General features: G+C 38.1%; 1 protein-coding gene across 3 annotated transcripts in view, besides 1 other annotated feature; it reads left to right on the forward strand.

The window, feature by feature from the left end:
- The window catches only part of ADAM23 (ADAM metallopeptidase domain 23), a 177,596-nt gene that overhangs the window by 117,708 nt on the left and 33,703 nt on the right, over positions 1–26,185 (forward strand). For all 3 annotated transcript variants that reach the window (NM_001410985.1, NM_003812.4, XM_005246932.4), the window contains exons 13-19: positions 964–1,054; positions 3,781–3,829; positions 5,984–6,083; positions 9,501–9,572; positions 10,488–10,577; positions 11,876–11,956; positions 26,086–26,136. In NM_001410985.1, coding sequence (NP_001397914.1) covers positions 964–1,054; positions 3,781–3,829; positions 5,984–6,083; positions 9,501–9,572; positions 10,488–10,577; positions 11,876–11,956; positions 26,086–26,136 — 534 coding nt within the window. The remainder of the gene's footprint in view (positions 1–963; positions 1,055–3,780; positions 3,830–5,983; positions 6,084–9,500; positions 9,573–10,487; positions 10,578–11,875; positions 11,957–26,085; positions 26,137–26,185) is intronic.
- Positions 22,930–24,129: an enhancer, noted in NCBI's record as "MED14-independent group 3 enhancer chr2:207448893-207450092 (GRCh37/hg19 assembly coordinates)". NCBI's record gives its function as "activates an origin of replication core promoter dependent on BRD2, BRD4, P300/CBP and CDK7 cofactors, and independent of MED14, by STARR-seq in HCT116 cells {active_cell/tissue: HCT116}" and the evidence as "EXISTENCE:reporter gene assay evidence [ECO:0000049][PMID:35650434]".

Consider the following 26,185-nt stretch of genomic DNA (forward strand, 5'->3'; position numbering starts at 1 on the left):
TTTGCATCTGTTCTCTTTTTTCCCTATGGCCCAGTTTACATCCTTTCTCGTGCTTGTTTAGAATGATGACATGGCAAATGTAGCATGAGTGGCTTATGTTATTAATAAATAGAACCCAACGTGGTCCTTTTGGTTCATAGTGACATATTTTGGTGTCATAATGACAATTTTTCGTATATATCAGGCAAATGCAGCTGAAGATTGGCCTGGAGACTTTTAGGCCTCTATAGATAAGATGTTAAGCTTTTATAAGCTTATTAATCCTTCTCTGACTTTTTTTTTGTTATAATGCTCCTCTGTCTATGTTAAATTTAACTCATTAAAATCAAAGGATTTCTGATATCAGTACTGTATGTTTTTTTCTCCCTATGTATATATTTTCATTTTCATGCCTTCTACCTACCTATCTGTAGAATGAACTCAAACACCTATTTCCTTAATCTCATTGTTCAGATTTTAATACTTTCAGTTTTATAAAGGAAATTCTTAATTGGTAACAGCACCCAAAAAGCATAACCAATTATATCTAAACTCTTGTCAATACTGAAATATATTATACCAGGTTATCTCAATAGCCTACAATTAGCCTGGAATAATATTGGAGTATATTATACCAGGTTATCCCAGTTGCCCATTTAGTAGGTACCTCTCTTGACATATTTTAGTAAGTTAAATTTATTCTTAGTTTGGTATAAGTTGAATTGGAGCACAGCCTTTTGTGACTTGTATTTTATGTTTCAATGTGAGAGCTTCAAATTCTGAGAGATATCACATAGTAAGAGGGGCTTTCTGCTTCTTGGGCCCAGTTGTAAAGAGGAGGTGAGAAGTAGCATATGCCATCTTAAGATACTGACAGGCTCTACTTAGGGAACTGAGAAGATTTGTGGTAACAATTAAGAAATAATAACTAGCTTTGTGCACTCTCTCAAATGTCTCCCACACACTTTCAACTCTGAAAAACAGTATGGTCTTCCAATGGCAGTGGCACAAGTATTATCGCAGAGCCTGGCTCAAAACCTTGGAATCCAATGGGAACCTTCTAGCAGAAAGCCAAGTATGTACACTGACCTTCTTACTCATTTTCATGTGCCATTCTGTCTGTATAATGCATGTCCAGTCAATAAATAAATATTTTTCATTCCAGTCATTATAGTTTAATTGTAGTATATCTCCTTCCTCTAAAATATTTAGAAAATAAGCAACTTAAGGTAATTTTTAATCTGTTTAGGTTGTAAAAATTTCCCTTTCAAAATCCATAAAATCATACCCAGTTTCTCCGGGAATGAGTCAGCTCTTTCTCACACTGCAGAATGTGGGGCTGGGGGCAGGGAATACTCTCACACTCAGGGTTCTAGCAGCTGAGCAGACGTACAAGGTGCTAGATAAAGCCTCCATCACAAGCTTAGTGAGATCACAGTTGGATTGGGAAATAGCTTAGATCTAGAGTCAAAGAGAGCTCATCTTTAAACTCTAATGAAATTTACCCACCTAGTCTCATCAGAAAAGTTGGAGAAAAAGGCTTTGCAAGGGAAGACCCTGCCCCAGGGCCTTTTAAGCATGGGAACAGGTGGTAGAGGATAGGATTCTCCTCTAGTGGCCCAGGCAGGTCCAAAAAGGAGAACCAATAGGGCCACACATCCCATCAGTAAAAAACATAGCCAGTGACTGTTAGGCGTCATTTTTTCGTTAATCAGATGAGAGGTAGATAGGAAGACAGGGCTGATTTTCTAGTGGGCAAAGGGTCTAGGGCTCACAGTAATCTGAAGGGTCCATGAAAAATGTTAATTTCTTTTAAAATCAGAATAAAAGTCAACCCAGATTGTGTTTATCTTTATACAAACCCAGTGGTAAAATATAATTTTTAATACATTTTTATGACAGTGGGCAACGACCTAATGCAATCCGGTGGAAAGAGAGACCAAAGTGTTCATTCATATTATTCACTTAACTAGAAATTAGATGAAAGTGCCTTCCTATTTTTTGAAAATATGAGACACTGGGAGTAAAGGTCTCACTTACCACCCCAACCTCCCTAGAGAAGAAAAGGAAAAATCTACCTTAATATCATTCTATATTTTATATTCTTTTTTTCATTAATGCATAATATTGTGGAAAATTGAAACAAATTATATTTACACAGGCTTCTCAATTCCCTTTATGGGTACATTAAGATAGTCATCACAAGTGTCTGGTGGCATTTCACAAACCTCCGCAAACTTCCATTGATTATCTTGCTCAGAGTGTTTGCTCTCCCAGGAAACACCTAGTACACATTAAAGGAAGTGTTTAGAGTTTCACCATCTGGCATAAACACCTTAAAACCAGAAAGGTGTATGACCAGGTTTATGCCCTTGTTTAGAAATCTTGAATCTGGGAGGAGGCCAGTGCTAGAGTCAGCTGAGAGGTGTTACTGAGTTGCATGATGGAATAGGGTGAGAAGTAGACTTCATTACTAATGCCTGCCATCGTTCCCTCCTTCCTAAAATTCTTTTTTTTTTTTTTTTTTTTGAGAATGAGTCTCACTCTGTCTCCCAGGCTGGAGTGCAGTGGCACGATCTCGGCTCACTGCAACCTCCACCTCCTGGGTTCATGCCATTCTCCTGCCTCAGCCTCCCGAGTAGCCAGGACTACAGGTGCCCACCACCACACCCGGCTAATTTTTTTGTATTTTTAGTAGAGATGGGGTTTCACTGTGTTAGCCAGTATGGTCTCGATCTCCTGACCTCATGATCTGCCCACCTCGGCCTCCCATAGTGCTGGGATTACAGGTGTGAGCCACTGCGCCCGGCCTAAAATTCTTTATTTCTTTGTGACTTGTTTGTTTAGGTAGCTATTTCATTGGTTCTAAACTTTGAGTTTAAAAAATCCATTTGGAAGTCTATCTTTGCATATACCTCTCTCTCTCTATATAGGTATATATAGATAGATGTATACCTCTCTCTATATATATACGTTGATATATATTGCTCTCTCTATCGATATATCGATAGAGAGAGAGGCATAGAAAAGAGAAACAGGAAAAAATTAATGAAGAGAAGAGCCCATCACAATATCAATATGTCAGTTTCTGGTATCGAAGTTAAGTTGTAATTGTTTTTAAGTGATTATGTACACTTCTGTTTTAGATTGCTCTCTTTCACTAAACCTTTTAGCATAGTGTTCATTCAAGTCTCTTGCTCATCCTCACTTCAACTCTAACAAATTGAATTCTCTTCTCTAACTTCGAGCATTCTCTGTTAGAAAACTTCAGTGATGATATGTTGTGTTTGTGCAACAGAGCTTTAAAATTCACAGCACATAGGTACACCGTCTAGTGTGAACCCCACAACCACTCTGGGAGATAGACAAAAAGGTGTTATTCCCATTTAGAGGTAGAAACACTGAGACCCAGGAAATGCTAAGTTACTTGCCTATGGGACTCTCTCATATGACAGATCTTGGACTAGAACTCAGGCTGTCTGATTTGTAGACCAGGGTACTTTTCACTAAACATTAGAACTAGGAACCAAATTGAGTTGTCAGAGTTACAAAAATAATGAAGAGAGGCACAATATTACTTCTTGCCAGCTGTTTTCTTAGGAATTAACCTATAATTCTGGAAAGGATAAGGAACTATTGATTTAAAAGAAATTTTGTTCTGTAAGACTTCACATTCCGTGTCTATTTGACTGACATGGAATTGGTAATAAAGAATTATTGTAGGAGTTGTAATACCAAAAAAATATGTGACTTTCTTTGTTTCCTTTTTCTTCTGTTGCTTTTATTGTTTTATTGGACCAGAATGTGACTGCACAGAATCCTGGGGTGGCTGCATCATGGAGGAAACAGGGTAAATTTTCATTATGCGTGCATTTGATATATGCCTTTTGCTAAAATTGCTGTGTAGAGTTAGAAACAAGGTCTCTCGGGTATTGGTCTTTTAGGCTAAGCACAATATAAAATGAATAATTAATTGTCTGATATTTTTAAACTGAAAGATCTAATTTACTTTGTATTTTAATTTTTTATTTAAGGTTGGTGATAAAAGTAAAATGTATTACCTTCTACTTCTTATTAACCCTTAAAGGAAGCACATGATTAAAGGCTTCTAAGTTTAGTGGAGGCATTAATTTTTTAGTACACTTAGATTAAAAGTTGGTTATCTACCTGAAGCAGTCAGTGAAAATCAATTTAGTCATCAATTTACATTTTAAGGAACTCGTAAATATATATGTTTACGGTAATAAAAATTAAACTTTACTGTTTATAAATCAATAAAGCTTTTTAAAAATTAAGACAGACTTATTGTATCTAAATCAGGTAGTCTTCTAGTGATAGACATTTGAACATTCCCTCACTTTTCTTTTGTGAATACTTTGGGAACTAGAGCAGCTTCCCCAGAGCTGCTGTTGCTTCAGTGAACCAAGGCCTGGAAATATTGCCCTCTTTCACAGGGACCCCTGCCTCATGGGAGCCACTGCCCCCAGACCCCCTAAGCCATAACCCACTCCTAGTAGAGGGGAGAGGTTTCCTCACCCATGTGCCTCTTTTGCTTTCTTTGCCATGCCAGACACCTGCTCAACACACCAACCATTTCTGGTCCTACCTCCGTCCCTCTGGTTGCCAGAGGCCCTGACCTACTTGGACAGAGCTCCTTTGTTTTCTTCCACCAGCCCTCCTAGGAGTCCAACTCCTGGGGAGGAGTGTGGGCATGAAGGTTTGCACAGTAGGCCATTATCCCTGCTACTTTAGAACGCATTTCTAGAAATAGAGTTTAAAACGTGAAACCCTTAGCTTCCACGGTTCCCTATTACTCCATAGCTTAGTAATTTATGGCTTAACCAGGCTTTTTGAGGACTACTATAAGAAGATAACACCTATAATATTGGTTCTATAGGGAGATGTCTTCTGTCTTCTAAATTAATCTCTGAAGTTTTTACAATGACTCTTCATAATATATATAACATATAATATCTTTAATATATTTTATATAATAAAATATATAAAATGTTTTAAATAAGATAAAATGTTTTAAAGTTAACATGTATTTTCTCAAGAATACATTTCTATATATTTTTCTAAGAGGTTCCTATCAACAGTGGCAGGTTTCACCTACTTCTGTAAACTACCTTCATACATCAGAATGCATAAAATTATTGAATTACTTCCTAGAATAAGTGGCCTGTCACTCGCAAGTCAAGCACTGTTATAATCACGCACTGTATTCCTGAGGAATAGGTGTGCGTGTGTGTGATTCAGTTTAACTAACCATGTGTATAATATTCCCCTGTGTTCTGACATAGAGATATTATATTTGATTAAGTAATTCACAGAAAGGCTCATTTTCTATTCCTGATTAATAATGAATATCACCAAATAGTATTTGAAATTGAGAATAAAGAGCCATTATTCATGGAAGCGTACCCCAATTCTATTGTCACTGTGCATATACATACTAAAAACATACGTGCATATACATATATGATCTAACACACCTCTTTAAGGTTTCCTTGTTTACCTGAATGCATTGTTGGCCTGCATGATATAGTCTTTAATATACTGGCCCTCACAACTCTCTCCTCCAATGTAAAATCTAGTACGTTCATGAGCTCCTTTTATTCAGAAAACAGAGGCAAAAAAAAAAAATGCTTGACTTTAATGAGATATAGCAAATAAAAATTAACAAACTTTAAAATACAGCCTATTTGAAGAGGTTTTGTAATGAGCTTTTTAAAAAACATTTCAAGCCTGGTCACAAAAGGGCTTGACTGCTGAGGAGGTTGTAATGTAGCCCCCAAATCTTTGATTTTCTTTGAAATTCCATCTCTGCAAACTCCACCACAGGTACTTAAGTGGCAATTTGAACATAAGTCCCTTGTCAAAATTTGTGTAGATTCATTTGGATTCAAAGTGAACATTTTGTTCTAATTTAGGGGTTTTAATTTTCTTCTCTGATGATTGCTTTTGGTAAATTATTTACATAGTTGATTCTTTGTTTCCTCAGGGTGTCCCATTCTCGAAAATTTTCAAAGTGCAGCATTTTGGAGTATAGAGACTTTTTACAGAGAGGAGGTGGAGCCTGCCTTTTCAACAGGCCAACAAAGGTTAGTAACTTAGAAAGCATACTAAGAAAGTATATTATTTCTCCAGTGTTTTACAGTGCAACAGTGCTGGATATCAGACGCCTGTCTTGGAAAGCAGGTTTCTTGTCAATCAGATTAATATTTAGTTATAAAAGTCCTTATCATGTTAAAGATTGAGTCCTGTTTAAATGAATGACAAAACCATAGATTCAGCATTCTCAGTCTCTGGTGTTTCAGTGCTAGCTAGAACTCCCAAATCCTCCCTTCCAAAGAGCAAACAATCCTTCAATTAAAATATCTTTGAGATTTTCATGTTAAGATTTTTACCCTGCTGCTAAGAGATGGTGGGTTAAATTAAGATAAAATATTATTTTAACTAATTTCTCTGATAAAAATTCCATTTCTCCTTGACATTCTTTCTAGGGACAAGTATTAGTCCATTTTCACACTGCTATAAAGATACTACCTCAGACTGGGTAATTTATAGACAAAAGAGTTTTAATTGACTCACATTTCCACATGGCTAGGGAGGCCTCAGGAAACTTATAATCATGGTAGAAGGTAAAGGGGAAGCAGGCATCTTCTTCACAAGGTGGCAGGAGAGAGAGAAAGAGTGCGAGGAAGTGCCACAGTTTAAAACTATCAGCTCTAGTGAGACTCACTCACTATCATGAGGACTGTATGGGGAAACCGCCCCCATGATTCAGTCACCTTCCACCAGGTAGGTCCCTCCCTCAACAGTGGAGAGTAGAACTCAAGATGAGATTTGGGTGGGGACACAGAGCCAAACCATGCAGGGCCTGACTAATTTCTTGACTTTTGTTTTTTTTTGAGTGGTTTGTCCTCTTGGGACATTAGTTCCTTATGAATATCAGCGAGCCAAAAAATCACCCAAGGTATTTATGGATACCATAAATACACATACGTGTTTATAATGCATTGTCTCTTTACCTGGAGAGGGCCACATTGTCAATTGGCATCTCGTCAAACTTTGTGTATATAGTGTCACAATCCCTTATTCGTGTATTCTTAATTCAGAAAACTGAAAATTTTCAGAAGTGTTTTTTATGTTTGTGGAAAACACATTTGACAGTAAAACTTGTCCTAAACTGAAAATATTTATACCTCATAAGGTAAATATTCATAAGTCTTGTTGCAGAAATATTAACTGATTATAGGGTGTGTCCCAGGCCCCTCAGGACTATTATATAGAATATGGTAAATGCATCGTACTTCTCTAAACTTCAGCAAAGCTGGAAGTCTCAAACTCACCAGCTTCAAAGCTTTTGCATAAATCGGGGCTGTAGACCTGCAGTAGCATGTTTGGAAATGAAGTTGCTCAGCAGGCAAAAGATAGGATCAATGCTAATTAGCAGATGGTATGGAAATTCTAACATGGCAAATTTCGTATTTCTTTTTAAAATACTACTTCATGAGTCAAATATAGCTCATTGCTATGCAAAATGTTTAATACTTTGCAAACTGAGAGAGCAGCGAAATAATGTTAACCTTTTTTTTTAAATCAGTAACTAATGTGGTAACTAACAGGATAATTTATTCCTAAACCCATAATTAAGTGACACTACGTAGTCAGGAGATGGTGGCTTGATGCCTGACATCTGTGTAGAATCTTAGTATGGCTGTGGAAAAAAGAAACAGGACTTTCAAAGTGACCTTGCGTCGTGAAAGTCAGTTGCCTGCCTTTCATAACGTTGATTTCAATGCAACAGAAATCCAAAAGCTTCAAAGTGTTCAAAATGGGTGAAATAAGTAATAATGAACTAATGTGAGCTGCTGGCATTTTTGAATTGTAATGTACATGGCTAATTTTACCCACCTTGTAGCTTAGGAGCTAATTATAAGCATCATGCCTGAGGAAACAACTCTCACTTGTTTGGAAAGGTTAAGGTTTCTAGCATATGCATAAAGATCCATCAATGGATTTCTGAAATTGTCTATGAGTTAGGAGAAAATTATTCTAATAACTTGGAAATGAAATAAAAATAACTATAAATCATCTATTTTTTAAAAAGTTAGTAAATATGGAATTATGTCTTTTTAAACTACGTAGTACAATGGTTAATAAACAACTATGGATGCCAGTGGAATAGTTTATATGTATGTATCAAAGAAGTGACTTTTTCCCCCAAGCGTTTTGAATGTATGTATATGCATGTGTTGTGTGTGTATTATTTTTACATTATATGTGTGCATATTTTCTGTGCTTTAGGAATCTTCCCCACTGCCATGTTTTCCACACTGTTGGAGATAGTGACCCGTCTCAGGATGGAGGCAGAGTCCTAAGAAGGAAAGAAGGGGGAGCCTGGTATAAAGTGCAGGCCATGTTCTAGTCAGCCCTTCCCTTTTCCAGTTTCTCCTGCCTCCTGATCAAAATAACACAGAGATGTGCAATGCTGATTTTGCTCATAGGACTTTTCCACAGGGGGAGTCCCACCCAAGTAGCCTGGAAACCTTTGCTTTTCGTAATAGTTTTGCCTTCCTGGAAGTGGAAGGAGGATCAGTTCTTTCTCAGGTGAATTTAGTGGAAGGCAGCGCTTCCTTGAGGTGTGTTCAGCTGCTGGAGATGGAGTCAGTTTCTCCCTCTCATATTTAGGGCTCAGAGCATTTGGGTTGGAGTGTGCTGCTCCAGCCTTCATTTAAGGTGTAGTGATTATGCCCAGAGAAATCCTGCCCCCCTCCCCACTGCCCCTGGAATGGGAAGCAGGCATGTTTCTCATAAACAGTCAACTACCTTTACAGTTGCTCTATAATATAGTTTATCTGGCAAGCAAGTTCATGGCACCAGTAGACTAGATTATTCTAGAAATTATACTCTTCTATTGCCCTAGGAATGACTGAGAGATTTCTGTATATCCATACATGTGTCTTATGCTTGCAGACACTTGAGATTTCTTTTCAGTGAGAATGATGGTCTTGGATTTCTAGCAACATTTTTTCCCCTAAGTTTACTTGCATTTACTTGATTGTACATATCACATTTGGCTATGACTGAAGCATATTTATCTTTTTGACAGTTTTTATGGCTTCTCAGCTGTCTTGAGACAAGTTAGCAAATTAGATATCTGTGAGTCTTATTAGCAATGCATTTTAGCTCCATTAGCAAATATGAAAAGTGATCTATTCCTCTTGACAGCTTGTCTCCATGAAAAGTAACTCTAATGCTAGAGTTCATCTGTGGAGCCCACAGCCAGAGAATCCCCCAAGAGATATTGCCCCATTTCAGATATATTTTTAAGTACTATTAATAAGTGAACAGTATTTCCCATACAGTCATCATTTATAAGATGCCACAACAACAGATCAAAGAAGAATATCACATGATAGCTGATTATACGGCCATTGTATGTGGCCCAGTTGATGTGCTGATTTTCTGTGATAAATTGAAACATTTTTCCCTTCTGTCCCTAATCTCTTTAGCTATTTGAGCCCACGGAATGTGGAAATGGATACGTGGAAGCTGGGGAGGAGTGTGATTGTGGTTTTCATGTGGTAGGTATAAGAAACCTTCTATACTTACAGCACAGATCTTACTTGGTGCAAACAGGTATAGCATTTGTGAGAGGCCAGCACATTGATTGTGGTCTTACTGCCTTTCTTTCTCATCTCTCTGATTAGTGCTTAATTCAACTCAGACCTGTTGGAATCAGTCATGTCCTTATGGCCTTGTCTGAGCAAACCTAATAGATTCTTCTAATTAAATTCCCTACCTCTTAAAAATTTGTAGCTCATATTCATCTCAGATAAGTTTTACCAAATCGTAAAACATTCTTTCCGTGTTGTATATTATTTTTATCTTTATAAAATAGATTGGGTATTAGAATGTAGTGGAGCTAATTGGAGGAGAATTGCCTGCTAAAAATTAAGCTTTCTCGGCCGGGCGCGGTGGCTGACGCCTGTAATCCCAGCACTTTGGGAGGCCGAGGCGGGCAGATCACGAGGTCAGGAGATAGAGACCATCCTGGCTAACACGGTGAAACCCCGTCTTTACTAAAAATACAAAAAATTAGCCGGGCGCGGTGGCGGGCGCCTGTAGTCCCAGCTACTCGGGAGGCTGAGGCAGGAGAATGGCATGAACCCGGGAGGCGGAGGTTGCAGTGAGCCAAGATAGTGCCACTGCAGTCCGGCCTGTGTGAAAGAGCAAGACTCCGTCTCAAAAAAACAAAAAGGAAAAAAAAAATAAAGCTTTCTATTTGCTATTGAAGTCCTTTCATAGAAGATCTTACTTTGGTGACAAGTATGGCAGGAAGGAATCTATCCTTGTTTAAAGTAATTAATTCTTTCCCAGAATATTTGCTTACTGTTGTATAAATGTTCTCATTTGGAATATGCATGCCACGTGTGGAGAGAATATGAATGACCAGCAGGTAAGGCTCTTCGCTTACTCACGTGAAGTGTTTTCTCTAGGAATGCTATGGATTATGCTGTAAGAAATGTTCCCTCTCCAACGGGGCTCACTGCAGCGACGGGCCCTGCTGTAACAATACCTCATGTCTTGTGAGTTTTCTGACAGTTTCATCTTTCTTTTAATTGACAGATTAGCCAGATATCTCAGTGTGTACACTGAGCATTTGTGTAGCTTGTCACAAATTTCTTGGGTACAGTGTACATATTAGCCTGGCAGTTTTCTAGGATCGATAAATCTCAAATTCTGTGGGCCGCAACATTTATCTCTACTATTATTCACTACCAACCATCTTATCCTCCAATGCCTCATTAGGAAAATATACCTAAACTGCTTCCAAAAGAGTTGCCCTACTAACATAGATGAAATCCAAATTAAATTGTTGAATAGAGGGGAGACAATTTCTGTGGTCTTTTTAATAATATGACCTACTTATAACATTTTTCTTCAAAACTTACCCTAATTTATTTTAGACCTGAACATAAAAGCTAGTGCTCATATTTTCCCATTGGGCTTTTAAAATCCCCTGTAAAGGCAAGAAAGTGAGATAGGAAAGTAACATATGAATGCACACTCATATGTGTATATACATGGTTTGTGTGTGTGTGTGGACAGACACAGTCTTCCATCTACAGAGACCACCAGTTATTTTTGAAAACTCATTTTAATCTTCCCTTTTCTCATATATATAACCTCTAATATTTCTTATAACCATAGAATTACATAATTTTATGATTTTGTTTCAATATTAGGGGGTACTATGCATTATGGTATTTAGAAGTTTCTAGCTTATTTCTCCTTGCTTCATGTCCCCAACCAGATTATAAATTGCTTGAGGGCAATGGGCTCTTTCCTTCACCTTTTACCCACACCCTCCTCAAATAAAATGCTTTGTATACAAAAGGCATTCCCTGGCATTACTAAAGGTAATTCGTATGAATTTATTAAAATTTGATTGTCTGTGTTTAGCAAAAGAAAGTTTAATATCTATGCTAATAGGTAATTCAGTGAAGGTTGGGTATATATGTGAATTCTTCAGAGAGATCTTAAATGTTTATATTATAGTGTTTTGCTATTTTGTCTTAAGCCAAACCAGAATTTCTTCTTTAGGTGATTTCCGTCACATTGTTTTCTGAAAATAGTACTCTGAAACAGTGGGTTTTGAAATCTGAACATTTAAAGCTTTGGTTGATGATTCATCTTTAGTGTAGAGGGTAGCATCTGGGTCTTGTTTCTATTCTGCAATAGGATATTCTGTCTTGCTAATTCTTAAAAAGAGTTTGGTGTTAGTTATGCGAGAGTATAGGCATTGTCGGTGAGTCTAAGAATGTTATAATAACTCTGAAATATTATGTAATGCTAACTCTTAATATTGAATTTTGATTTGCAGTTTCAGCCACGAGGGTATGAATGCCGGGATGCTGTGAACGAGTGTGATATTACTGAATATTGTACTGGAGACTCTGGTCAGGTATGGCGCACTGAGTTTTTGGTAATACATTTTACTTGTACAGGTTGAGTATTCCTTACCACAGTGCTTGGGGCCAGAAGTGTTTCAGATTTAAGATTTTTTGGATTTTGGAATATTTGCATATTCATAATGAGATATCTTGGGGATGGGACTCAAGTCTGACCATGAAAGTCATGGATGTTTCATATACACTTTATACACATCGCCTGAAGGTAATTTTATGTAATATTTTAAGTAATTTTGTGCATTAAACAAAGTTTCTGTACATTGAACCATTGAACCCTCAGAAAGCAAAGATATCACTATCTCAGCCACCCATGTGGACAATCAGTGGTTGTTTGGCATCACCATCATTCCTGACTCTGAATCTGTATGCTACCAATAGGCAATTACTTTCTTGTACTTATTCACACCTAATTACTTAACAGTAAAAAAAAAAAAATTGGACATGCATTAAGACATTGAAAAAATAATATGTTCACCAAGCAGCACAGTAACATCACCCAGATAACTGTATCAGCTGTTGAAAAATAGCAACAATGAAAATGGCAGGCTTTCAGTCACCACTTATGATGCCGTGTTTTAAACCTTTGAAAAGGTTACTGTAGGATGTATTTTACTTTTTTTTTTTTTAAGAAACATCAGAAGCAGTAGAGGGACCAGGAAGTGGGTCCTCTACGGATAAGGGGGCATTCTGCTGGATGGCTTTTTAAAATGTTTCCTCCAGAGTCATCTGCCTCATTAACAGAGTTTTTGCTTAGAAGTCTCTCTTTGATTTTATTAGGTTGGTGCAAAAGTAATTGCGGTTTTTGCCATTGCTTTTGATGGCAAAATCAATAATTACTTTTGCACCAACCAAATATAAACTGGCATGATTTCTTGTTATGAATGCACACTGGCTCTCGTTCTTCACAAAGCCCGTCACACACTTTCACCATATGTCCAGAGGCACTTCTGCAGTGTTAACAACGTCATCTTCATCATCATGTCAACGTTCAAAAAGTTTCAGATTTTGGAGCATTTCTGATCTTAGATTTTTGGATTAGGGAAGCTCCCTCAACCTGGCTCAACCTGTACATATTTTAAAGCTTTCAGTATAGATTGCACATGTGAATATGCTTTGTTTTATGTTTTATTTTGCTTGGTTTTCTGGTTATTTCTAGCTCTTTACCATACCTTTATTTTAGGAAAGTTTGGTGTGGTTTTCTTTTTTTTTTTTTTGGCAGGAGGGGCCTAAATCTTTTTTTCTTCCTAATTTCTCCTTCATAATTAGTTATCTTTATATGATTTATACCCAACTAATTGAGTTTTCTTTTCTGGTCCTTATATCTTAAACAGTACACTCACATTGATGAAGCACTAATGTGCTGTTTTCAAACATTTTAAAGCCACGAAACTATTTATTAGACAAAATTTGGATGGATGCCCAATGTAGAAAATAAGGAATAAGCAGCACTACTCTGGTTAAAGTGGGATTGGGAGCAGAAGTCCACCTTTCTTAATTCTCCATTGCCGTGTCTGTCCCACAGATGTAGCCCTGGCTTCATGGCCTATGTGGTTTGGCATGATCTTCTTCCCATTAAGCTTATTGCCACATAATTAATATTGCCCTCTAAAATTCCTTCTTTACATAATGTTTATGTTTTTAATTTACCTATTTTATGTGTTTAATTTATACATATTATGTCTTTATTTGTCATTCAAATGAGTATTTGTTGAGGGCCTACTGTGTTAAGCACTGCTGTAAATGCTGGGACATGGCCTTGCTCTTGTGGAACCTACATTCTGCTGGGTATAGAAAGGCAAGTAAATAAAAAATCAGATGGTGGTAAGTACAAAGCATAAAATAAGGCAAAGTGGAAAGAGTATAGGGTAGGATGTGATAGATAGGGTGATCAAATATTTCTTTCTGGAGGACATGGCATGGAAGCAGAGACACAAATAAGAAGGAGCTTGTCAGTAAATAGTGAGTACAGAAGCTTAACTTCTCCATGAAATGGAATGAAAGCAAGGATAGCTGGAGAATAGTAGAAACAAAAAGGAAGTCAAGAATCAGGGCAGGTAGGGACATGTAGGCCATGGAAAGAATTTTAGATTTCATTCTACCTTCATTTTAATTCTGACATTATTTTAAAAGCATTTCCCCATACTGTTACACAGTTTTTATAGTTAATTCTTTTCACGATTGTATGAGAGTCTGTCATGTGGATTTATCAGTTGATTTATACCCAGTATGGGTATTTAGATTTTGGCAGTTTATTATTAGTAGTATAGAAGTGAACATCTTTGTGCATTTTTAAAAGAGTGTTTCTTGTTCAGGGTTAGCTCCTCAGGACAAGCTCCTAAAAATGGGGTTACCTGTTGCTAGGCATTGTGCTTTCCAAGAGGCTCCCAATAGAGTACACTTGGCAGTCAAAATATCACTTTTATTATTGAAAATGGCCAAGTTGAAGGCTGTAGCTTAATGTGAGGGCTAAAAGTTATCTTTAAGATCCCAGTTCAGGCTATAGCAACAGGTTACTGACAAAATTGGGTCCAGAAGGACAATGTATGGCACGGGGAGCAATGGAAAATGCATGGTTTATGTGGGTAGGCTTGCTTATAAAAGAATGGCAGAACTGTGGCGGAATGCCTAGTTCTTCTTCCCAAGCTTATCATTGGTCAGTCACTCCACCTCCCAATGATGGAAGTGAGTAAGGAGTAGGGGAGCTGGGGTTACACTGAGTTCCTTAACCAGAAGAAAAAATGAGGAGAGAGAAAGAAGGGTTCCTAAGTAACATTTTTGTAAAGGTGTTGATATATATTATTTGAAATTCAATTCAGATGGACCCTCTTAAAGAAATGGTACAGTGAAATATGTTCAGGCCGTGTTTTCATGATTTTTATGCATATCTGTTTCTTACATTTCAATATATAAATAGGTTTTTTTGCAATTTTCTGTAATATAATGACAAAGTATGAGAATTGTAGGTTCTGTGTTTAATGACGTGTATTGACAATACTGATACACTGTTTCAGAGTTATATTTTTAGCTTTGTAGAATACTACTGTTTTTATGTTTACCATATATGGTTTTAAAAACTTCTGTGTATTCAGCCCTTTTAGAGGTATAGTTTTTTCATTTCAATCTTTAACTCTTTAAGTGCCATAGAATTTACTAGAAATAAGATTTTTATGATGAGAACTCTTTGTTTAACCTAATATTCTATTGTCTAAGTAAAACATTTTTTCTTTTTATAGCATGTGTCTAAGCTGAAAATTATACTGTTAAATTAATTTCTCAGTACATATTAGAATAGAATATTTTTGCTAATATTTTTCTAGCATGATCAGGATGAACCTAAAATAGAAGTAGAGGGAGTTAAAACCCCCCAAAATTCTTCTTTTTCTCCTTAAGAAATAATGAGCTTTGAATTTAATTAATACTACTAATAATTAAGAAAATGGAATCTCTACAACTCTGAGAATCAGTATTTACAGGCAACATTATGACTTTATCTCTTTTACCTCATAATGTGTTTTTCTTAATTTTTATATTAGCATTTACTGATGCCTCAGAGCTACTTATTAAACTTACGGTTTATAATAGAATAAACAATACTTACGTAATTAAGAGAAATCCTTGACAAACAATACTGGTGGATGTAATACAGATATTTGAAAGATAGCAGAAATAGGAGAAATGTTTTTTGTTAGTGCTATGAAATATGTCATCTAAGTGGGTAGTATAACATAATTTAAAATAAACACTTCTAAATGCTATTGCACTATTGAAGCCTGCCTGCCTCAAGTGAACCATCCTGTATAGCATAATGTACAAGGAAGGTTCTGGAATGACATTTAGAGACTGAATCCAATGCTCCACTCATAAGCAGAATAAAGTGCACAGATTTATGGTTTTCCTGTTTTAAATGTCCCCAGAGAACATAGTACATTCCCTAATTTCCCTCGTTAAACATTCCCATGATAAGCAACTGTCTTTTATTAGCCTAAACTAAAACCAAATAGATTAGAAATCTCACATGTGGCTATGCCAATTTAGAATAAGGGCATTTTTTCTTTTTTTTTTTTCTTTTATTATTATACTTTAAGTTTTAGGGTACATGTGCACATTGTGCAGGTTAGTTACATATGTATACATGTGCCATGCTGGTGCGCTGCACCCACTAACTCGTCATCTAGCATTAGGTATATCTCCCAATGCTATCCCTCCCCCCTCCCCCCACCCCACAACAGTCCCCAGAGTCTGATGTTCCCCTTCCTGTGTCCATGTGATCTCATTGTTCAGTTCCCACCTATGAGTGAGAATATGCAGTGTTTGGTTTTTTGTTCTTGCGATAGTTTACTGAGAATGATGATTTCCAGTTTCATCCATGTCCCTACAAAGGACATGAACTCATCATTTTTCATGGCTGCATAGTATTCCATGGTGTATATGTGCCACATTTTCTTAATCCAGTCTATCATTGTTGGACATTTGGGTTGGTTCCAAGTCTTTGCTATTGTGAATAGTGCCACAATAAACATACGTGTGCATGTGTCTTTATAGCAGCATGATTTATAGTCCTTTGGGTATATACCCAGTAATGGGATGGCTTGGTCAAATGGTATTTCTAGTTCTAGATCCCTGAGGAATCACCACACTGACTTCCACAATGGTTGAACTAGTTTACAGTCCCACCAACAGTGTAAAAGTGTTCCTATTTCTCCACATCCTCTCCAGCACCTGTTGTTTCCTGACTTTTTAATGATTGCCATTCTAACTGGTGTGAGATGATATCTCATTGTGGTTTTGATTTGCATTTCTCTGATGGCCAGTGATGATGAGCATTTTTTCATGTGTTTTTTGGCTGCACAAGGTTTTTTTCTAACTGAAACATCACAAAAGTAAAATCTGATAAATTAATTTTAGATCCTGATGTGCTTTTTCTAATAGCAATATTGCTTTTGCATTACTGTTGACTGTGGTTGTGTTAGTTTTATTTATTTTTTAACATTACAAATCTATTTATTTATTTTTCCATAAGTGTTTGGGGTACAGGTGGTATTTGGTTACATGAGTAGGTTCTTTAGTGGTGATTTGTGAGATTTTGGTGCATCCATCACCCGAGCAGTATACACTGCACCATATTTGTAGTCTTTTATCCCTCACCCCCCTCCCCAATTCCCCCCAAGTCCCCAAAGTCCATTGTATCATTATCATGTCTTTGCGTCACTACTTAGCTACCACATATCAGCGAGAACATATGATGCTTGGTTTTCCATTCCTGAGTGACATCACTTAGAATAATAGTCTCCACTCTCATCCAGGTCACTGCAAATGCTGTAAATCCATTCCTTTTTATGACTATGTAGCATTCCATCATATATATATATATGTATGTATGTACATACACACACACTACAGTTTCTTTATCCACTCATTGATTGATGGGCATTTGGGTTGGTTGATGGTCATTTGGGGTGGTTCCATGATTTTGCAGTTGTGAATTGTGCTACTATAAACATCTGTGCGCAAGTATCTTTTTTGAATAATGACGTCTTTTCCTCGGGGTAGATACCCAGTAGTGGGATTCCTGGATCAAATAGATCTATTTTTAGCTGTTTAAGGAATCTCCACACTGTTTTCCATAGTGGCGGTACTAGTTTACATTCCCACCAGCAGTGTAGAAGTGTTCCCTGTTCACTGCATCCACGCCAGTGTCTACTGTTTTTTTATTTTTTTATTATGGCCATTCTTGCAGGAGTAAGGTGGTATTGCATTGTGATTTTGATTTGCATTTCCCTGATCATTAGTGATGTTGAGCATCTTTTCATATGTTTGTTGGCCATTTGTATATCTTCTTTTGAGAATTGTCTATCCTTAGCCCACTTTTTGATGGGATTGTTTTTTTTCTTACTGATTTGTTTGAGTTCATTGTAGATTCTGGATATTATTTCTTTGTTAGATGCATAGATTATGAAGATTTTCTCCCATTCTTTGGGTTGTCTCTTTACTCTGCTGACTTTTCCTTTTGCCATGCAAAAGTTCTTTAGTTTAATTAGGTCCCAACTATTTATCTTTGTTTTTATTGCATTTCCTTTTGGGTTCTTGGTCATGAAATCTTTGCCTATAAGCCAATGTCTAGAAGGGTTTTTCAATGTTTTCTTCTAGAATTTTTATAGTTTCAGGTCTTAGGTTTAAGTCCTTAATCCATCTTGAGTTGATTTTTCTTTAAGGTGAGAGATGAAGATCCAGTTTCATTCTCCTACATGTGGCTAGCCATTTATCCCAGCACCATTTATTGAAAAGGGTGTCCTTTTCCCCACTTTATGTTTTGTTTGCTTTATCAAAGATCAGTTGGCTGTAAGTATTTGGGTTTATTTCTGGGTTCTATATGCCATTGGTCTATATGCCTATTTTTATACCAGTGCCATGCTGTTTTGGTGACTATGGCCTTACAGTATAGTTTGAAATCAGGTAATGCAATGCCTCCAGATTTGTTCTTTTGCTTAGTCTTGCTTTGGCTATGTGGGCTCTTTTTTGGTTCCATATTAGTTTTAGAATTGTTTTTGCTAATTCTGTGAAGAATGATGGTGGTATTCTGATGGGGATTGTGTTGAATTTGTAGATTGCTTTTGGCAGTATGCTCGTCTTCAAATATTGATTCTACCCATCTGTGAGCATGGGATGTATTTCCATTTGTTTGTGTCATCCATGATTTCTTTCAGCAGTGTTTTAGTATAGAGGTTTTTTGACCCTTTGTTAGGTATATTCCTAAGTATTTTTTTTTTTTGCAGCTATTGTAAAAGGGGTTGAGTTCTTGATTTGATTCTCTGATTGATCGCTGTTGGTGTATAGAAGAGCTACTGATTTGTTTACATTAATCTTGTATCTGGAAACTTTGCTGAATTCTTTTATCAGTTCTAGGAGCTTTCTAGAGGAGTCCTTAGGGTTTTCAAGGTAAACAATCATATCATCAGCAAACAGTGACAGTCTGACTTCCTCTTTACTGACTTGGATGCCCTTTCTTTCTTTCTCTTGTCTGATTGCTCTGGCTAGGACTTTCAGTACTATGTTGAAGAAGAGTGGTGAGAGTGGGCATCCTTGTCTTGTTCCAATTCTCAGAGGGAATGCTTTCAACTTTTCCCCATTCAGTATTATGCTGGCTGTGGGTTTGTCACAGATGGCTTTTATTACATTGAGGTATGTCCCTTGTATGCCGATTTTGCTGAGAGTTTTAATGATAAAGGGATGCTGGATTTTGTCAAATGCTTTTTCTGCACCTATTGAGATGATCATGTGATTTTTGTTTTTAATTCTGTTTATGTGGTGTATTGCATTTATTAGCTTGTGTATGTTAAACCATTCCTGCATCCCTGGTACGAAACCCACTTGATCATGGTGGATTATCTTTTTGATATGTTGTTGGATTCAGTTAGCTAGTATTTTGCTAAGGATTTTAGCATCTGTGTTCATCAAGGATATCGGTGTGTAGTTTTCTTTTTTGGTAATGTCCTTTCCTGGTTTTGGTATTAGGTTGATGCTGGCTTCATAGAATGAATTAGGGAGGATTCCTTCTTTCTCTATCTTGTGGAATAGTGTCATAAGGATTGGTACCAATTCTTTGAATGTCTGGTAGAATTCTGCTGTAAATCCATCTGGTCCTAGACCTTTTTTGGCTGGTAATTTTTAAATTATCATTTCAATCTCACTGCTTGTTATTGGTCTATTCAGGGTATCTAATTCTTCCTGATTTAAGCTAGGAGGGTTTCATTTTTCCAGGAATTTATCCATCCCTTCTAGATTTTCTAGTGTATGTGTGTAAAGGTGTTCATAGTAGCTTGAATGATCTTTTGATTTCAGTGGTGTCAGTTGTAATATCTCCTGTTTCATTTCTTAGTGAGGTTTTTTTGGATTTTCTCTCTTCTTTTCTTGGTTAATCTTGCTAATGGTCTATCAATTTTATTTATCTTTTCAAAGAACCAGCTTTTTGTTTCATTTATCTTATGTATTTTGTTGTTGTTGTTGTTATTTCAATTTCATTTAGTTCTGTGCTGATCTCGGCTGTTTTCTTTCTTCCGCTGGGTTTAGGTTTGGTTTGTTCTTGTTTGTCTAGTTCCTTGAGGTATGACCTCAGATTGTCTGTCTGTGCTCTTTCAGACCTTTTGATGTAGGCATTTAGGGCTATGAACTTTCCTGTTAGCACCACCTTTGCTGTATCCCAGAGGTTTTGATAGGTTGTGGCATCATTGTCATTCAGTTCGAAGAATGTTTTAATTTCCATCTTGGTTTTGTTTTTGACCCAATGCTCATTCAGCAGGTTATTTAATTTCCACGTATTTGCATGGTTTTGAAGGTTCCTTTTGGAGTCAATTTCCAGTTTTATTCCACTGTGATCTGAGAGAGTGCTTGATGTAATTTCAGTTTTCTTAAATTTATTGAGGCTTGTTTTATGGCCTATCATATGGTCTATCTTGGAGAAAGTTCCATGCACTGTTGAATAGAATGTGTATTCTGCAGTTGTTGGATGAAATGTTCTGTATATATCTGTTAAGTCCATTTGTTCCAAGGTATGGTGTAAATCCATTGTTTCTTTGTTGACTTTCTGTCTTGATGACCTGTCTAGTGCTGTCAGTGGAGTATTGAAGTCCCCCACTATTATTGTGTTGCTGTCTATGTCCTTTCTCTTCCTTCCTTCCTTCCTTTCTTTTTTTTTGAGATGGAGTTTCGCTCTTGTTGCCCAGGCTGGAGTGCAGTGGTGCGATCTCGGCTCACTGCAACCTCTGCCTCCCAGGTTCAAGTGATTCTCCTGCCTCAGCCTCCCAAGTAGCTGGGATTACAGGCAGGTGCCACCATGCCTGGCTAATTTTTGTATTTTTAGTAGAGACAGAGTTTCACTATGTTGGTCAGGCTGGTCTCGAATTCTTGACCCCAGGTGATCCGCCCGCCTTGGCCTCCCAAAGTGCTGGGATTACAGGCGTGAGCCACCACGCCCGGCCAACATTTCTTAGGTCATTAGTAATTGTTTGGTAAGTGTGGTAGCTCCAGTGTTAGGTGCATATATGTTTAGGATTGTGATATTTTCCTGTTGGACAAGGCCTTTTACCATTATATACTGTCCCTCTTTGTCTCTTAGCCACTGTTGCTTTAAAGTTTGTTTTGTCTGATATAAGAATAGCTACTCCTGCTTGCTTTTGGTGTCCATTTGCTTGGAATGCCTTTTCCACCCCTTTACTTTAAGTTTATGTGAGTGTTTATGTGTCAGGTGAGTCTCCTGAAGGCAGCAGATGGTTGGTGAGTTCTTATCCATTCTGTGCTTCTGTATCTTTTAAGTGGAACATTTAGGCCATTACATTCAATGTTAGTGTTGAAATGTGAGGTACCATTGCTTTCATCATGCTCTTTGTTGCCTGTGTGCTTTGGTTTTGTTTTTTTGTTTTTGCTTTCTAACTTGTATTTTTGTTTTATAGATCCTGTGTGATTTATGCTTTAAAGAGGTTCTGTTTTGATGTGTTTCCAGGATTTGTTTCAAGATTTAGAGCTCCTTTTAGCAGTTCTTGTAGTGGTGGTTTGGTAGTGGAAAATTCTCTCAGCATTTGTTTGTCTGAAAACGATTGTATCTTTCTTTCATATATGATGCTTACTTTGGCTGAATACAAAATTCTTGGCTAATAACTGTTTGAGGAGGCTGAAGATAGGTCCCCAATCCCTTTTAGCTTGTAGAGTTTCTGCTGAGAAATCTGCTGTTAATATGATAGGTTTTCCTTTATAGTTTACCTGGTGCTTCTGTCTCACAGCTCTAAAGATTCTTTCCTTTGTCTTAACTCTGGATAACCTGATGACAATGTGCCTAGGTGATCTTTTTGCAATGAATTTCTCAGGTGTTCTTTGTGCTTCCTGTATTTTCATGTCTAGGTCTCTCACAAGGCCAAGGAAGTTTGCCTCGATTATTCCCTCGAATATGTTTTCCAAGCTTTTAGAATTCTCTTCCTCCGGCCGGGCACAGTGGCTCATGCTTGTAATCCCAGCACTTTGGGAGGCCAAGGCGGGCGGATCACGAGGTCAGGAGATCGAGACCATCCTGGCTGACGCAGTGAAACCCCGTCTCTACTAAAAATACAAAAAATTAGCCGGGCGTGGTAACGAGCGCCTATAGTCCCAGCTACTCAGGAGGCTGAGGCAGGAGAATGGCGTGAACCCGGGAGGCGGAGGTTGCAGTGAGCCGAGATAGTGCCACTGCACTCTGGCCTGGGCGAAAGAGCGAGACTCCGTCTCAAAAAAAAAAAAAAAAGAATTCTCTTCTTCCTCAGGTACACCAATTATTCTTTGGTTTGATTGTTTAACATATCAAACCTTCTTGGAGGTTTTGTTCATATTTTCTTATTCTTTTTTCTTTTTCTTTGTTGGATGGGGTTAATTCGAAGACTTTGTCTTTGAACTCTTAATTTCTTTCTTCTACTTGTTCATTTCTATTGCTGAGACTTTCCAGAGCATTTCACATTCTAAAAATGTGTCCAAAGTTTCCTGAATTTTTGATCGTTTTTTCTTTAAGTTACTATTTCCATGAATATTTCTCCCTTCTTCCATCATTTTTTGGATTTCCTTGCTTTTGGCTTTGCCTTTCTCTGGTCTCTCCCTGATTAGCTTTATAACTAACCTCCTGAAATTCTTTTTCAGGTAAATCAGGAATTTCTTCTTGGTTTGGATCCCTTGCTGGTGAACTAGTGTGATTTTTTGGGGGGTGTTGAAGAGCCTTGTTTTGTCATATTACCAGAGTTGGTTTTTTTGGTTCCTTCTCATTTGGGTAGGCTCTGTCAGAGGGAAGGTCTAGGGGTGAAGGCTGTTGTTCAGATTCTTTTGTCCCACGGGTGTTCCCTTGATGTAGTACTCTCCCCCTTTTCCTATGGGTATGGCTTCCTGTGAGCTGAACCACAGTGATTGTTGTCTCCCTTCTGTGTCTAGCCATCCAGTGAGTCTACCCGGCTCCAGGCTGGTACTGGGGGTTGTCTGCACAGAGTTCTGTTATGTGAACTGTCTGCGAGTCTCTCAGCTGTGGATACCAGTGCCTGTTCTGTTGGAGGTGGCAGAGGGTGTAATGGACTCCATGAGGGTCCTTAGCTTTGGTGGTCTAATGATCTATTTTTGTGCTGGTTGGCCTCCTGCCACAAGGTCGTGCTTTCCAGAAAGCATCAGCTGTAGTAGTGTGGAGAGGGACCGGTAGTGGGCAGGGCCCTAGAACTCCCAAGATTATATGCCCTTTGTCTTCCACTATAATCAGCTCTTCAGTTTGTGTGGGAGCTGGGTGAGGCCTGTGACTCCTGGCTTCCCCCACTTTCCTGACAACCTGCATGACTCAGCAGAGGCAGCCATAATCCTCCTAGGTAGAGACCTGGGAGTCTCACCCCCATCCCCCACAGCAACCACAGCAAGACCCACCCAAGGAGAGTCTGAGCTCAGACACGCCTAGTCCTGTCCTTACCCGATGGTCCCAGCTTCAAGAAAAAAGGGCTTTAGTTCTTCCCCGGCCTGTGAAGTCTGCACACCCGATTGGTGCCCTCCCCCAAGTTATGGCCAGGAGGCTTCTCGCCCAGTTCAAATTGTTAAAAAGTTCAGCTAGAGAATTCCTTCTCCCTGTGGAGTTTTACCCCCTGCTCCTCTGGCCACCTTCCCGTTGGATCCCTATGGTGCTAGGCAGGAATGGGCTGCTCGGGGACCCAGTGAACTCTCAGGGCCTTTTTGTTGCTTCCTCTACCCCTGTATTTGGCTTGGCTCTCTAGCTTGACTCAGTTCCAGGTAAAGTCGGAAACTTTTCCTGCAAACAGACCTTCAGCTTCTCCAGCGGGGGTGTGTGTTCCCACTTCCACAATTGGGGCACTCACAGTATTTGGGTGTCTCCTGGGTCCTGCAGGAGCAGTCTGCTTCCTTCAGAGGGTCTGTAGGTCCTCTTGGGATTGCTAGTTTGTTCTTGCAGTCCATCTGGAGCTAAAATTCACAGTGCAGGCCTCCGCATGCTGCCCTGTCCGGAGCTGCAATCTAGTCCTGCCTCCTGTCCGCCATGATCCCGATCACTGGTTGCATAAGGTTAAGAGTGAGTGAATGATTAATGATAGTTGATTAATGAGATAATGATTGCATTTTGAGTGGCTCTGGATGGATTAAAGAAACCACAGGGATTTCTGCTCTTGTGTAGTTGTGTATTTCTGCTTTTTACTGCTGATCCCTTGAATACTCACCAGATTGAAAAGCTGTGGCGAATGAAACATTTATGAGAGTCAGTTATTCTTTAGAAAGGTGTAGAACCAAAGCATTTGCCTTGGAATGTTTGTTAGGAAATTACTGCTTCTTAGGAATGCTAAATTAGTTCTGTTATCTTTCTGTGGTGAACTTGATAAATGGCTCAATATGTGCAGCATAGAATAACATAGTCGTATCTGGTTATTGAGTCATTCATTTATTTTCTCTGTGAGCTCACAGTACTTGCACACCTGCCACATGCCTGGTGTTGTTGTAGGTACTAGGGCAGCAGTAAGGAACAAAACATAGAATCCTGCTTGCATGGAGCTCACATTATGATGGGGCAACAATGAACAAACAAGTAAGTAAAACTTATGAATTGTCAGTTGGTGATAAGTGCTTTGGAAAAGAAAAAAAAACAAAGAAAAAAACTTGTAGACTTCTCTAAAAATAAATAAATAAATAAAAAGCCCTTAAAGCCCTTATCCTAAATTGGCACAGCCCCAGAGAGTGCCAGCATTGGAGGGGCTGCAGCTTTGAAGAGCATAGGTTCTATAAAGGCCTCTTTGGGATGATGATATTTGAGCAAAGCTCTAACAAAGGTGAGGGAATGAGCCATGCCGAAATCCAGAGCGACAACGGGAAAGCAAAGGCAAAGGCTGTGGGTGGCAGCATGACTGGTGTGTCCACGTGGACTCACATCAGCCATGGGTGAACAGAAAATGATGTCACAGAGATGACGGGGTGAGAAAGTATAGGAGCAGATCATGTTGAGCTTGGAAGGTCATTGAGTAAGCTGGGAAACAGAAGATCGATGTGATTTGGTATTTACCTTTTTAAAGAGATCACTCTGATAGCAATGTAAACTCTAAGGTGACTAGGATAGAAGCAAGGGACTCAGGTGGGAGGCTATTACAGTAATCCAGGTGAGAGGTGGTGGTGGCTTGGACAGGGTGTGAGCAGTGGAGGTGGAGAAAAGGGGTCAGATTGGAATTATATTTTGAAGATAGAACTAGCAGGATTTATGGACAGACTAGATGGAGGAAGAGTGAGAGAGGAGGGGAATAGAAGATGACTATGGCCTTTGGCTTGAACAATTGGAAGGATGGAACATCATTTACTGAGAAGGTGAAGACTGAGGGAGGACCTCAGTGCACACTGCTGTTTCTTATTTATTTGCCATGCCTGCATATTTTTTTCTTTTTGTATTTGTTTTAAACTCTGTAGCAGGGCCTTTGACTTGATCTTTTTCCATTCTCTTAAATGTAGTCAATAAAATGTACAGAGAGTAACTTTGGGGGGAAATGAAGTATTTCTTTAAAAAATGATTTGATAAATAGACCTATAAAAAGAAATAACCATCACATCACAGACTGTTCTAGTAACATGTCTGCAGTTTGAAGAGGTCAGAACTATTAATATAATGGAGATATAGCACTTACTTTGTGTTGAAAGGCAGAGTATTTCTTCTGTTTCACTAAAGTAGCCTATAGGTAAAATGTCATGATGTCAAATGCAGATTTGACATTTTCAGAGAGCTGAGCAACTTCTTGTAAATTAGTTTCTTGAATGTGACCGTTCTATGTACCAAGCTGATTCATTTCCTTCATTGTCCATTTTAATCTCTTCTACTTTTAACTCTGTAGGCAAGTGAATGTGACTTGTTATTCTGGTCCATCTCACCATAAACAGAGGAAACATATAAAATGCATGCACTGTGTGGCCCTTACTTACTTATTTTACCAATAATAGGATAAATAATTTGAATTAATAACGTATTTAAGGAGTTGCATGTGTTTTTCTCAATGTTTCTAGTTATATATATCCACCATGCTTGCATTATATATAGTATGTACATTATCTGAAGGTACCTAGCATGCTGAATATTAACTAAAAAGATAATATTTTGCAGTGCCCACCAAATCTTCATAAGCAAGACGGATATGCATGCAATCAAAATCAGGTATGCTGGGCTATAAATTTTAAGTGTAATTTAAAAAGGATTCATTGGA

The sequence above is a fragment of the Homo sapiens genome, chromosome 2 (genome assembly GCF_000001405.40).
Source record: "Homo sapiens chromosome 2, GRCh38.p14 Primary Assembly".
Lineage (NCBI taxonomy): Eukaryota > Metazoa > Chordata > Mammalia > Primates > Hominidae > Homo > Homo sapiens.